The sequence below is a fragment of the Homo sapiens genome, chromosome 6, assembly GCF_000001405.40.
Source record: "Homo sapiens chromosome 6, GRCh38.p14 Primary Assembly".
NCBI lineage: Eukaryota > Metazoa > Chordata > Mammalia > Primates > Hominidae > Homo > Homo sapiens.
This window is the reverse complement of record NC_000006.12, coordinates 16666878-16681157: the sequence shown is the minus strand read 5'-3', so window position 1 is coordinate 16681157 and position 14280 is coordinate 16666878. Positions and strand designations below refer to the sequence as shown.

The following is a 14280-nucleotide window of genomic DNA, read 5'->3' as shown; positions in this document are numbered from 1 at the left end:
AATAGAAGATCCTGGGGTCTACTGGAGCACTGTCCCATTGGTGGGGAGAAATAACAATCATCATCATCATGTCTCCCTTCCTTTGGAATTGATTAGGTAGCTCCTATATTCCACATTCCTCTCACCTGTTGACCACACACAATTTTTGGTCTTGTAGCTTGGCCACTCATTTTAGCTCAATCACTGGTTTAATTTTTTTAATGAAATCACTCAATCGATAGAGGCTAACCTCTCGTAGATGTAATAATTCCAACCATTCTCAAAGAAATAATGAAGGGTGGAATATTATGCTTTCTAAAATAATGGAATTTATTTTTTCTTTATGCCCACAGCTGTTTAGTCCTAAAGAGGGGGAAGAAAGAATCTTTCGATCTTTTGGCATGTTCCATGTCCCGTATTGATGGTCATACTTCAGCTTTTTTCTGGTTGTTTAAGAATTATGTGGCCAATAGGCTGCCTTGTATATAACAGTGAAAAACACCCATTACTTGTATTTGTTTCATTTTAAGGTTTAGGCAGTTGGAGCATAGGACAGTAACTGGTTTCCCTTGTTTTCTGGAACCTGCCCCTTGCTCTCTCTTGGGTGATGCCTCACCCCTGCCCCAGTGTCAGAGCTGCCCTGGGTCCTTCTTCCCTTGAAGGGTCTGATGAATGAACCACACAGCTTGTTAGTATCTCAGTTTGTTAATCCTCCCGGAGGAATGTATGTTTCAAAAAAGAAGCTGAAAAGTATAATGGATGAGAATTTGCTTTGGAACTCAGCACACTGTAGATTAGAGAAGGAAAAGAAAGAAAAGGAAGGAACAGAAGGACATGTTTGGGGGGTAGGGGGCCTTTCTGGGGCTTCTGAAAGCAAATGTTGTGATAATTAGTTACAGTGTCCCAAAGATGCCTGGGTCTACCCCTGACCCTCTACACAGGCCAATTCTGCTCCCACCAGAAAAAAACAAGAGTACAGAGCAAAGAGGCAGGGCAGCAGCCTCTGATACCTATTTGAACTTTACACATTCTGATAGAATTTATTATCTGTATTGAATATGGGAGACTGTGGGTAAAAGACTTCAAGACAGTGAAAAACTAGGAAAGAAAAATAAAGGTGTATTGGGCCTTGGCAAATTTTTGACACTTACTTGACTATGTGCTTTAACTTTTTGAAAAGGCAGATAATATAGCAATCACATTAAATATTTATCTTTAAAAGAAATTATTTTAAAAATTACTCTTAATATTACCACATTATGAACTCAATAGGAGATCCTACAGTTCCTTTAACTTTAACAACAGTACATTTGTTAATATTCATTAAAGTTAAAGAAGCTTACTATTACAACAGAATGAAGTAATACTTGCTGGAAAACACCAATATTTTACTTATCTTTATCTAATCCCCCCGTTTAACTGTAGTGATACAATACTTAATTTTAAAAGAGGAATGGTTTGAATGTACAGACTTTTACATGTGTTCTTCCATTGAGTTCTTTCTTGTAGTCTAACCCAATAGTTATCACACTTCAGTGTACATGAAAAGTGCAGTAAAGGATTGTGCAGTATACATAAAATCCTGTGTGGAGTGTCTTGTGGGAAAGCCAAAGGATTTTCAAAGTTAATTTTGACTATATATGACTTTTGCTTAACTTTTGAACTTAACCGCCCACATAAAAACTCACTCCACTATATTTCCCTTCTCTTTGCCTCCCTACTTCTGTCCCCCCTTTCTCCCTTTTTTCCTTCCTCCCTTGTATTCTTCCATCCATCCATCCATCCATCCATCCATCCATCCATCCACCCACCCACCTATCCATCTATCTATCCTCCCATCCACCTATCCACCCACCCATATATCCATCCATCCATCCATCCATCCATCCATCCATCCATCCACCCACTAACTCATCCATCCATCCATCCACCCACCCATCCATCCATCTATTCATCCTTCCACCCATCCGTCCACCCACCCACCCATCCATTCATCTATCCTTCCATCCATCTATTCATCCATCCACCCATCCATTCATCCATCTATCTATTTGTCCATCCATCCACCCTCCCACCTATCCATCCATCTATTCATCCATCCATCCATCTTTTCTTCCATCACTCCTTTCTTTTTTTTTTTTTGAGATGGAGTTTCACTCTTGTTGCCCAGGCTGGGGTGCAGTGGCGTGATCTCGGCTTACCGCAACCTCTGTCTCTCGAGTTCAAGCGATTCTACTGCCTCAGCCTCCCAAGTAGCTGGGATTATAGGCATGCTCCACCACAGCCAGCTAATTTTGTATGTTTTTGTAGAGATGGGGTTTCACCATGTTGGTCAGGCTGGTCTCGAACTCCTGACCTCAGGTGATCCACCCGCCTCGGCCTCCCAAAGTGCTGGGATTACAGGCGTGAGCCACCGCACCCAGCCCCTTCACTCCTTTCTTTTTCTCTTTCCCTGCCTTCCTTTTGATAAATTAACTTAAACATTTTTTTTGGTGAAATTAATATGGTGATGTCTACTTATATTTAAATCAGAAAATTATTAGTATGCTGAATATTCCAATCTCTTAGGAATGATAAAAATATTCTATAAAGGTCAATCTTAATTCCACATCCTATGTTCCTACTCAGCTTTCTGTCTCTGATTTCTCATTTTTAGCTGGGAACATCCCAGCCAAAAGACAGCCAGGTTCTCTGTGAGCATAGCATATCAAACTAACTGTAAGAAAATAACATTTTGGCTTAAAAGCCATCTTCTAATATAAGATAGAATAAAAATGATAATGATTGGTATACTATGTGGCATTGTTAGTAAGAATTTGAAGTAAGATTTACCTAAATCGCTGAAAATATTGAATAGTTGGCTGAGACTTTAGAATTGGTACAAACATGTACATTTTCTCAAAATCAAAAGAATTAAAATAGATATCCAAGAAGTCAGATTATGAAAAAATAAGATAGTCAACGGAAATCCTAAAAGTAACTTAAACATTGGCATTGGACATATTTCATTTGTATTTCTGCCATAGAAGAGTTAAGTTAATGTGCATTTTTGCCATGCAATGGCAAAATGAAGAGACTTTTTTTTCCCTTCTTTTTGCTCTTGGTAAAATTAAGTGGCAAAGAAAAGATAGCTCTGAGGTTATTGCTAGAATTTTGTGCTAAAAACATTTTGGCTAGAGCAGCAAGTTTTTAGGCAAACAGCCCCTGATAAAAGTTGCAAGAAAAAAATCTCATTCGAGTGCACCAAACACTTTTCAGATGACCATTTAATTTTTTTAAGTTGCATAAACAATTTCAAGTGCACTGTAAATATAGAAAATAGGGTATGATAGTTGACAGAAACAGAATGAATTAAGAGCAGTAATAGAAAATTGTAAACAATTATATCTGAATTTCATCAGTTGTCTTGCTTACATTCACAATTAGTCATCCCGTGAAAGACATAGGTGAACATTTAGCTGCTTAAAAAGGAATTAGCTGCTTGAAAGGACAAATGTTCATGTTAAATTTCATGAAGACTAACCTTCAGCAGACAACGGCACAAATGTGTCAGCTTTTTCTGGTGTGAATGAAGCAAGATACAGGCAAAACAGATGAGATAAATAGGACTTGGAAAAAAAATTCTACTATACAAGTTTTGTATCCCCATCTTTTTGCTCTTTGTGGAGCACCTACTGGAAACCACTCCTGACCTAATGATGAGGACACAGAGAGAAAATTCAATAAGCAATGGCCTGAAAAATAATTTTTATCTAAGTATTAGATAAACGCAGTAGCATATTTGACTTGTAAAAATAACATGGCTAGGCTTTGTATGCCTCCCTGTCCTCTTACCTACGTGGGATTTTCAAATAGCACTGATTCTGGGGAGGGGAATCAAAAAATAGAAGACTCCCCTCTCCCAGAGCACACGTAATTAATGCCTGTGTTGCAGCTGGGAGCTCTCTGCCAGCAGAGTTCTTTGCTCGTCATCTCTCAGCGCTCACCCACATTCCCCTTGATTCACACCGTATTGTTTGTTTACATGTTTGTCTCCCTGACTCAGGTTGGAAATCTTTAAGGACAAGGACAACCTCTTGTTCCTTTTTACATTTCCCATGGTGCTTTGCTCGCAGTGGCCACTACAGACATGATTCATTCATTGTTTTAAAAAAAGTGTTAACTAGTTAAGTGAAAATAAAATGAAACAGCAAAATGAGACAAACGCCTAGATCTGAAAGGCTACAAAATACAGCAGAGGGTTCAGTGGACATAAGAGGAAAGGAACACAATGATATCCCCAATCTTGTGATGGAATAGAAAAAAAAAAAGTGATTGGTGTTGATGTAACACTTTTCTTGGCCAGTTGAACATTCCAGAGTAGAGGTCAGTTTTGTAGTTAAATCTGGTAGGAAGATGTTTCCAACCAGAAGGAATCATACTAAAATTATTTTATCACAACAAGCAGTCCATAACCGAAACTTTAATTTGTGAGTTGGGAATCAGGATAGGAAACCCAATTTTATATTCTTTTTATAGGAAGAAGAATCCATTCCACCACTCAGACTGCTTTCCTCTTTCATAATCGTGGCATACTCTGCCATTGTTTGTTTATTTTCCCCACAACTAGATGGAGAGTGCAAGGACCATATTTTACTCATGTGTATCCTCAGGGCCTAGCACAAAGTAGGCACTCAGTAATGAAGAAGTAAGATGTTTCAATGTCCCTAACATTTAAAAGGATGTATGAAACTAGTGCTAATACCAGAAAGAGTTGGTTTTCATAGGCTGTTAATTGTGGGTTTTGAAATAATGTACTACTTTGTACATTGATTTTATACAACTGTGTTATATACTTCAGTAACTTTCAAGGTAAAAAGTTAGAGGTTATTAAATCTGGCAGGGTCTTAAAACCTGAGTCTCAGTCCATGTAAGAGCATTCTTTTGCTCTTCTTGACTAGCCATGTAAAAGGGTGAATGTAAGTTAGTGAATTATCTTTTAGAAATCTTCAGTTGTATATATATTTTTTTCATCGAATTGCAAACTCACTCACACTTACCAATGTAATACTACCCTGTTGATGAGCATTAGTAGCCTTATTTGGGTAGCCAGATTAGAGACACAGGCTTCATGGTGTTACCTGCCTTGATGTTTTCATTCATAATGCAGCATTTGGGAATGCAGCATTTTTCTATATTGGAGACATGTATGATGATGTGTATGTTCCTTCCCCATAACCCTGTCCGCTTCTCCTTTGGCAGTGTCTTGCATCACAATTTTATTTTATTTTTATTTATTTATTTATTTTTTGAGAAAGAGTCTCACTCCGTCACCCAGGCTGGAGTGCAGTGGTGCAATCTTGGCTCACTGCAGCCTCCACCTCCCAGGTTCAAGTGATTCTCCTGCCTCAGCCTCCCGAGTCGCTGGGACTACAGGTATGCACCACAATGCCTGGCTAATTTTTTTTATATATTTTTTTTAGTAGAGATGGGGCTTCACCATGTCAGTCAGACTGGTCTTGAACTCCTGACCTCAAATGATCCGCCAGCCTCAGCCTCCCAAAGTGCTGGGATTACAGGCGTGAGCCACCGCACCTGGCCTCCAATTTTAAATATATGTAGGCTCCATCTCCACCTCTCCCTGAAAAAACTTTCCCTGCTCCTTTCGCCTTCATGTGTGCCATAAGTTGACTGCCATCAGGCCAATATCATTACATATAAATTCCCTCCACCCTTCGTTTTAATTTTAAAATATCTGAAAGGGGGAAAGGGAGAAGATTCCCTAATGAGTATGTTGTGTGATTCAGGACCTTGGCTCTTAGATCCTCAGTCATGTGATATTTTCAGATTTTATGGGACTATGGTGCAATTGAAGAAAGGCTTTTGACAGAAAATGTGAAATGATGAAGTCTTAGCACGGACTCATACGGCAGTATTTGATTGCGGGTTAATCTCCAAACGTTGAAATAAAGTGGATCTGTTAAAAAGCCATTGGTTACTTTCAGTTGCCAGGGGTGTGTATGCTCACATTCCTGGAAGCACATTCTATAAAGTCACCAATCTACAACACAGACACCCACCTCCCCCTAGACTTCAGAGAGCTCTGCTGGGCTGCAGCTTTCTACCAAAAGAGTTGTGTGCCTCTGAATTTCACATCCAACCTTGGAAGCTGCAGTCTGTTTAAGATTTCAGAAAGAATGGGGGCTATGTTTCCAGTTTACTGCTTTGTTATTTTGAAATTGAAAGTCTGAGCAGAATTCAGAACTACACAAAACAGGATCTTTTCACATGTTTGTTTAAGTCATGTTCTTGGCAAAAACTTGCTGAGGAAATGATCTGTTTCTCTAGGAGCATTGATTTCTTACTCCAGTACAGTGGCCATTTCCCAGGATCTCATTCCAAACCATCTGTTTTGCCATCAGAGCCAGCCTTTCAGTGAATGATCTCTTTGGTCTACACTGTGCTAAACCTTCTGATTGAAAGGATTTTTATTAATGAAATCTAGGTAATAAAGTTGCAGTGAACTTTAGGAAGTTCTCTGTAGGCAGGGCGTGGTGGCTCAAGCCTATAATCCCAGCATTTTCGGAGGCCAAGGTGGGCAGATCATGAGGTGAGGAGTTTGAGACCAGCCTAGCTAATACAGTGAAACCCCGTCTCTACTAAAAATACAAAAAAAAAAAAAATTAGCTGGGCGTGGTGGTGGGCGCCTGTAATCCCAGCTACTTGGGAGGCTGAGGCAGGAGAATCGCTTGAACCCATGAGGCGGAGCTTGCAGTGTTGCAGTGAGCCGAGATCACACCACTGCACTCCAGCCTGGCAACAGAGCGAGACTCCGTCTCAAAAAAAAAAAAAAAAAAAAAAAAGAAAGTTCTCTGTAACAGTCAAATAGCAAGTGCTGACCTCTGTCGCCTCTGTAGCAGCAGTATGGATGAATTGTGAGCTTGTTGGCTAGGTTGGGCTGCGGGTCATTGTGGAAAAGCCATGTTTCCCTTGCCTGTGGCTGGGAATAAGTATAGTGGGGCCATTTTAAAAAAAAGTCCTGTGGTTGAATTCTGAGTTTGAGCTGTTTTAAAATGTCAAACAGACTGAATCCTTGGGAGACTCATTTGAATGAGACCAGCAGCAATGTAAGAATATATATATATATAAAACACGTTAGAGCATTTCCATGTATGGGAGGGAACTGATGGAGAGAACACAGACCACCACATTAACTGCCACATGCTGTCAACCAGTGGATCTCAACTGGGGACCATTTTGCCCTCTCAGGACATTTGGCAATGTTTGGAGACACTTTTTGATCGTCCCAAATGGGAAAACAAGGTAGCAATACTGGCATCTAGTGAGTAGAGGCCAGAAATGCTGCTGAACATCCTGCAATGGGGCTGGGGGCATTGGCTCACACCTGTAATCCCAGCACTTTAGGAGGTCGAGGCAGGAGGATCGCCTGAGCTCAGGAGTTTGAGGCTGCAGTGAGCTGTGATGGCGTCACTACACTCCAGCCTGGGCAGCAGAGTCAGGGGTCTCTTGAATGAATGAATGAATGAATGATTTTTAAAAATCAATCAATCAATCAATATCATATCCTACAATGCACCAAACAGTCCTCTGCCTCAACCAAGGATCATCTGGCCCAAAATGTTAATAGTGCTGGAGTTGAGAAACCCTGCCTTAGACCCTTTCCTTCTCATAGTTTCCAAGCTGATAAATCAGCCTGCCTTGACAAAGGTGAGGAGGTAAGCTGCAGGCGTGAGTGGGAAGAGCAGGATAAGGAAGGAAACGGAGAAAAGAGGTAGCAGCATTGCATGAAAATAAACTACCCGGGCCATATCCCATTTGTGCCAAATTAATATTTGGGATTCTGTCTTTATGTGTTTGGTAAAGCCGGAAAGTATGTGGGTGGCTGGCTGGGCCATGGCCTTTGTGTTAGAGGTGACCTGAGTTTCTTCAAAGCACCTGTGTTAGTTTTTCATTGCTGCTGTAACAACTTATCAGGAACTTTGTGGCTTAAAGCAACTGTTTTTATCTGACAGTTCTGCAGGTCAGAAATCCAATACAGGTCTCACCAGGCTGAAATCAAAGTGTCAGCCAGGCTCATTCTCTGTAGGGACTCTAGAGAATAATTCATATCCTTGCCTTTTCCGTTTTCTTTCTTTTCTTTTCTTTTTTTTTTTTTTTTGGCGGGGGGGAACGGAGTCTCATTCTGTCGCCCAGGCTGGAGTGCAGTGGCACATATTGGCTCAGTGCCACCTCCGTCTCCAAGGTTCAAGCAATTCTCCTGCCTCAGCCTCCCAAGTAGCTGGGAGTAGCCCAGCACCATACCCAACTAAATTTTATATTTTTACTAGAGTGGGGTTTCTCCATGTTGGCCAGGCTGGTCTCGAACTCTCGACCTCAGGCGATCCACCCGCCTCGGCCTCCCAGAGTGCTGGGATCACAGGCATGAACCATCGTGCCTGGCCCACCTTTTTCCATTGTCTAGATGCCATTGTATTTCTTGGCTCCTGGCCCCTTCCCCTATCTTCAAAGCCATCAATGTTGCATCTCTCTGTGCTGTGTTTCCATAGTTGAATCTTCCTCTGACACTTCTTCCTCCTTCTCAGACTTTTAAACTTCCTTGCGATTACATTGGACCCACCTGTATCATCTCCCCATCTCCAGATCCTTAATGTCATCACATCTGTGAAATCGCTTTTACCACGAATTCACAGACTGATTCTGGGGATTAGGACGTGGGTATGTTTGAAGGTCCCTTGTTGTGCCTACCACAGACTCCAAGGCATTTACTAGAGCCACATTTTGCTGACTTGAGCTAGATGTAGCAAAAGAAGTGTTATAAAAATGGGTTTTTAAAAAAGCCTTTTTTTTTCCTGTGGTATAATTTTAGTGTTTAGAAGTAATTTTTCTTTTAATGCAGTATGACACAGAAAACATTTGGAGGATGTTGAAAAGTAATTGTTTAAATTGGCAAAGACACATTTCAGTAAGGGAGTAAACAAGAGGGAAACGTGTTGGGGGGAAAGGTGTGGGGAGGAAACTCTAGACCAGAGGCCCTAGGACTTGAATATACAACTTAGTCCTGTTGAAAATTCAGATTCCTGGGCCTTAAAGTATGTTAAATAGGTCAGGGGTGGGGCCCAGGAGTTGTACTTTTAACGAGCACCCTCCTGTGATTCATTTAACATAAAAGGTCCTTGGCTCACACTTGGAGAAACACTGCTGTAGAAACTCAAATACCTATTTTAAAACAAAGGTACATTTTAATCATTTAGTTTAAAATGAAATCATTGCATAATACTGATGTTAGAGGTTAGAATAAACATGTACTTAAGTTCTTGATATTCTTGTCATTTCAGTTACATGTCAGGGAATGTGATTTGTGTTTTGACGTATTCAAATCCTTGTCATATTCAACCATATTCGTATTCAAAATATATAATGATTTTGACCCTTGATTGTTCGAATTAAGACTGTCATCTTTTCTGTGTGATTAACTCTTGTGTTGATATAAATATGCCTTTGGCTTACTAATGTTCAGTAAGAACTAATGACTCTTGGGAATGTTAATAGACTCTGTGAGTCCCTTTTTAATCATTTGTAACCAGGCTGTCATTCCATGTTTGTTTGGAAGCTTAGAGATAACATTTATGAACTTTGTGACACATAGTAGTTGCTCAATAAATGTTAACTGTAGAAACACATTGATTAGTTTCACTTCAGAAATAGACACTTAGAGTTCAAAATTCCCATCTGCCTAGCTCCTGAGGCCCACTTTCTTACCAGAATCTTTCCTGATACCCTCTCCTGCATAAAATGGTTCCTCTTTTGAGACTTTGTAGCTCTTTTGTACTTCTCTTATTCTGTTACGTTACTGCAAAAAAAAAAAAAAAGAAAGAAAAGAAAAGTGCCAATTGTGTACATGCTTTCCTCCCTGCTGGAATGTAAACTTTGTAAAGGCATGATCCATAGCAGATACTTCTTATTACAAACTACCTGGCAGAATTTCTTTCTAAAGAACCTACTCAGTAAGCCTGTTGGTGAACTGAGCAACATTTGGACAATTATGGCATCATCTTACAATTTTTCAGCTATTGGTTTTCACTTGTTTAGAAATGTAAAACTTTGCAAGGACTTTTATAAAAGCAAATTTCAGAATAGTTATTCACTAAGCTTTTTTATGCTAATGATGTCATGCTATCAAAAATTAGCTAGAGTAAATGGACTGTAATGAGGATGGTTTGTAATCTAGATTATATGTTCCACATGTAACATCGAAATGAAATATAAAATTGAGTTGTTGGCATGTGGTTGTGGTGAGCAGAAGCAGTTATTATACATTACTTGGTAAAATTCATATTCATATCTTGTCAGTTTACAGTGAGCCAGAGATTAAAAATAACATTTGTTTCTGTTTTAGTAACTGCTTAAAAATATCCAAAATCATTTTATTTTCTTTAGCCTGACTTCTAGTAGTGTTTTGAATATGTGGCCTTTCAAGCAGTAATGAAATGCATCAATGCGACTTGGCAGTGCCTCACAGGACATGCTTCTAGGATCATTTTTAATGATTAAAAGTCAAATTGAGTTCTAAAAAACTGACCCAAAATATAGATGAGCCAAGTAAAAACGGAAGGAAATCTGAATAAAATCTTGGTTCTTGGTCCTCTGCATGTATCCTCCACATCTGTTTTCTCCAGATCTCTTTTTTCTTGCTTGTTGATAGCACAGAGGAAGATCGCAGAGAGTAATGTACTGTATATGTTTCACATCCCCCTTCCTCTTTAGTGATAGTTTGGAGAGTATACTGCAGTCACCATGGTTTTCAGTTTGGAGAGTACAAGGATCAGATCTGTATTTTCTAGAGCCAGCTTTTGTGGCATTCTGGAGAGGTGATTGGAGAACCATGAGAGCAGGCAGACATCTGGGTGAGAGGGCACGAGGGGTGAGTGACGGCAGAGCCAGACTTGCTGGAGAGGCAGAAAGGGAAGGATTCAAGTAGCATAACCAGGAAATAGAATTGATAGGATTTGGTCCCTGCTGACCTGTGGAATAAGGGGGAAGGCAGAGGAGTTGATTCTAGTATTTCTAAGTTGGGCCACTTAGTGATATTGGGGTACCAGGAACAGGCTTAGTGGACCCACAGAAGTGACCAGACCCAGGAGTCTCTCTGAGCGCCCACCCTGGCTTCTCTGTGTTGGCTTACCCTTTCTTGGTTGGGGGTCATGGGGTGGTCAGCTTCAGTGGTGTGGTCTGAGGTGACAGGTGCTCAGGAGTGAGGACAGGGAGTAGACATCACCAATGTGAATGTGGAGGTAGGCAACAAGAGTTATTCTAGAACTGACAAATTTAATATATTTTGCTGACTGCTGAGTTCCATTTGGACAAATACCTAATGCATTTGGGGCTTAAAACCTAGATGACGGGTTGAAGGGTACAACAAACCACCGTGATACATGTATACTTATGTAACAAACCTGCACGTTCTGCACATTTGTCCCAGAACTTAAAGTAAAAAAAAAAAAAAAAAAAAAAGATTGTTCAGTTCAGTTCAGAGAGCAATAGGAGCAGTTTGCTATTCACCAAATAGGGACATCAATTCTTTACTGATTAATAGCAGTGATTCAGAAAACTGCCTTTTGTAGTAGAGCACACCAAGGGGGTCTGCCGGATGGAAAAAGAGAACAGTGCTTTGTGAACTATAATTGTTGCCATAAGTAAATACTTAAAATACACTAAAATGGCAACATCAGGAAACATGACTAAGGAGTCAGTGTACGCCACGCCCTTTCCCCCACCTTTGTGGTTGTTGAAAATTTCCACCAAGAGTGATGTATACAAAAAAGGGTAAGATCAGGGTGTTAGGTTTCAGAGGAAGGCAAAAACTTGTGTGATTCTATAAATGGAGCTTACAAATGGAAATGCACCATTCAAGGCAGAAAGTCTATCACAGTCATTAGGAATAAGCATTAGAGTGATTCTCCTTTCTTAACTTCTGCACAGAAGTTTGATGTGGTAAAGAAACAGTCTGCTCTTAGCCATGTTCCTTGAAAATACATGTCTTCAATTACTTGGTTTGTCTGAGAGAAAGGAGGGTTTGGAGGAGAAGGAAATGCCTCGTGAGTTTGACATACTATGGGAGGATTGTTGTTATTATTGCTTGATTTACATGCTCTCATTTTATACAAAGTGTACAGCACAATTTCTCAAAGAGTAATTATGATGCCAAGAAAATGGGGTGGATTCTGGGCTTCCTGCAGTCTGTCATCCAAATAATAATATTCATTACAAAGATCCTTACCCAGGAGGCCAAGGTGGGAGGATTGCTTGAGGCCAGGAGTTCAAGACCAGACTGGGCAACATAGACCCCTATCTCAAAATAAAATAAAGTAAATAAAATAAAATAAAATAAAAAATAAAATAAAATAATAAAAGCTCCATACCAGTTTGTGGCATTCCTACTGAAAACAGAGGTATACGAAATGCTTGAACAGGGCATGGAACTGGAGGTATGGATGTCATTAAGAATGGCTGAGAATTTTTTGCCAAGAGTTAGTATACTATCCTACTTTATTCTATTTCAGTTTGCAGTAGGACAGACCTAATTCTCTTCCCTGAGAAAGTCACAAATAAACTAGCATGGAGCTTCTCAGTGGGCACCCTTGGCTGAACTCTATAGACTCCTGTTCTCTTTAATAATATCTAAAGCTTCTGGTTCAATTACATGGCTAATATCTTGACTCTCAAGACCAAAAGGCAAGATGTTTAAAAATAAAATCAACGTTAAAAACATGCCTGTGTTCCATGGACACAGGAAGGGGAACATCACACACTGGGGCCTGTTGTGGGGTTGGGGGAGGGGGGAGGGATAGCATTAGGAGATATACCTAATGCTAAATGACGAGTTAATGGTTGCAGCACACCAACATGGCACATGTGTACATATGTAACAAACCTGCACATTGTGCACATGTACCCTAAAACTTTAGTAATAAAAACAAAAAAATAAGAAAACAAAAACAAAAAAAACATGCCAGTGTTCTTTAGTCCTCACTCAATTAGAGAAAAATGAGAGCAAGCATGATATTTTGTATCTGGCACTATGTGCACTGCCTTGAGAGATTTCTCTAGAAGGTTTTAAGAACATCTGTCATCTATTAATAGTTACGAAAGCCGAGACTCACACAAATGAGGCAACATTACAGGGGGTCAGAGAGCACATAGGTAAGCCCACCTTGATGGGAGTCCTGGCCCGAGGCACTTTGGGGAAAGAGTGAGCTGCAGTGGTTATAGAAAGACAAATGTCTTGAGCCGGGCATTGAAAAATGACTAAGAATAATCTAGAAAGTGTTCAGTATGTTTTTAACGATTGTGGGTTAGCAGAAGGAAAGCCATCTGAGGTGAGAGAAATAATAAGCAAAGGGGACAGAGGTGGATGGTGAATCAACTGACCCAAGGGAGTTAAGCGTTTAGAAAGCACTTCAAAAGGATAACACTACATAGCTCCTTGCCTTACTGTGGTGCCTTAGAGATGACTGGCATTTTTGCAGAGCTTGTTTCATAAATGTGCTTTCAGAGGAATAAACAGGGGATTCGGGCTGGGCTGAGGATACCTTGAATTTTGTTTACAGACCATCATTTTGTTTACAGAACATCAGTGCTCTATCCTCATGTCCTTCTAAGAATCAAAAGTTTTAACCTCACAGAATCCAGCGTGTGGCTTGTGAGTGAGACTCCTTTTTCCATGTGATAACCGGTCTGCTTTGGGGAGGCAAAAGAATCTTACCGACACGTACATATTTTAGGATGGGCTCTGAGCCAATTCATCAAGCCAACTCCTCACTTTGAAACAAGAAAGTGAAGAGGATGTTTCATGATTGTGGAATACCTGCCAGAGGAAGAATCTACCGAAGTTCAGTCAACTATTAATTGGAAAGGAGGCAGCAGACTGAGGAGATAGAGAATCTTTGCTCTCAGGTGGATGGAGGTTGGAGTCCTCAATCTGTCACTTGTGGGTACATTATGTAGCTCCTTCACCTCCATTTCTTTATTTATTAGAAGGCGGGTAATAAAAGTGTCCACTGCCTAGGATGGTTCTAGGGCTTAGAGGAGATAATGAAACTCAAGGGCTTAACATGTGAATGTTAGCTATTATCATTGCATGTGTCCATTAACACCCAAAGATAACCAGTGTTGTTTAGTAGTTCTTTGCGTATTTTCTTTCTAAATAGATAATGATTTATAATTTACCTAGTTACTTCATGAATTGATTTCATGAAAAAGGTCTTTCTGAATCTCTTTCCATGTACTTTAAAAGTTTATTCC

General features: G+C 40.1%; 1 protein-coding gene across 3 annotated transcripts in view, besides 2 other annotated features; it reads left to right on the top strand.

The window, feature by feature from the left end:
- The window catches only part of ATXN1 (ataxin 1), a 462349-nt gene that overhangs the window by 80303 nt on the left and 367766 nt on the right, over positions 1-14280 (top strand). The gene's annotated exons all lie outside the window — the stretch shown is intronic.
- Positions 8347-8848: an enhancer, noted in NCBI's record as "H3K4me1 hESC enhancer chr6:16672541-16673042 (GRCh37/hg19 assembly coordinates)". NCBI's record gives its function as "activates a minimal SCP1, AML or CMV promoter by ChIP-STARR-seq in primed H9 embryonic stem cells {active_cell/tissue: H9 hESC(primed)}" and the evidence as "EXISTENCE:reporter gene assay evidence [ECO:0000049][PMID:30033119]".
- Positions 10383-10462: a silencer, noted in NCBI's record as "silent region_16958". NCBI's record gives its function as "represses an Ori minimal core promoter by ATAC-STARR-seq in GM12878 lymphoblastoid cells {active_cell/tissue: GM12878}" and the evidence as "EXISTENCE:reporter gene assay evidence [ECO:0000049][PMID:35858748]".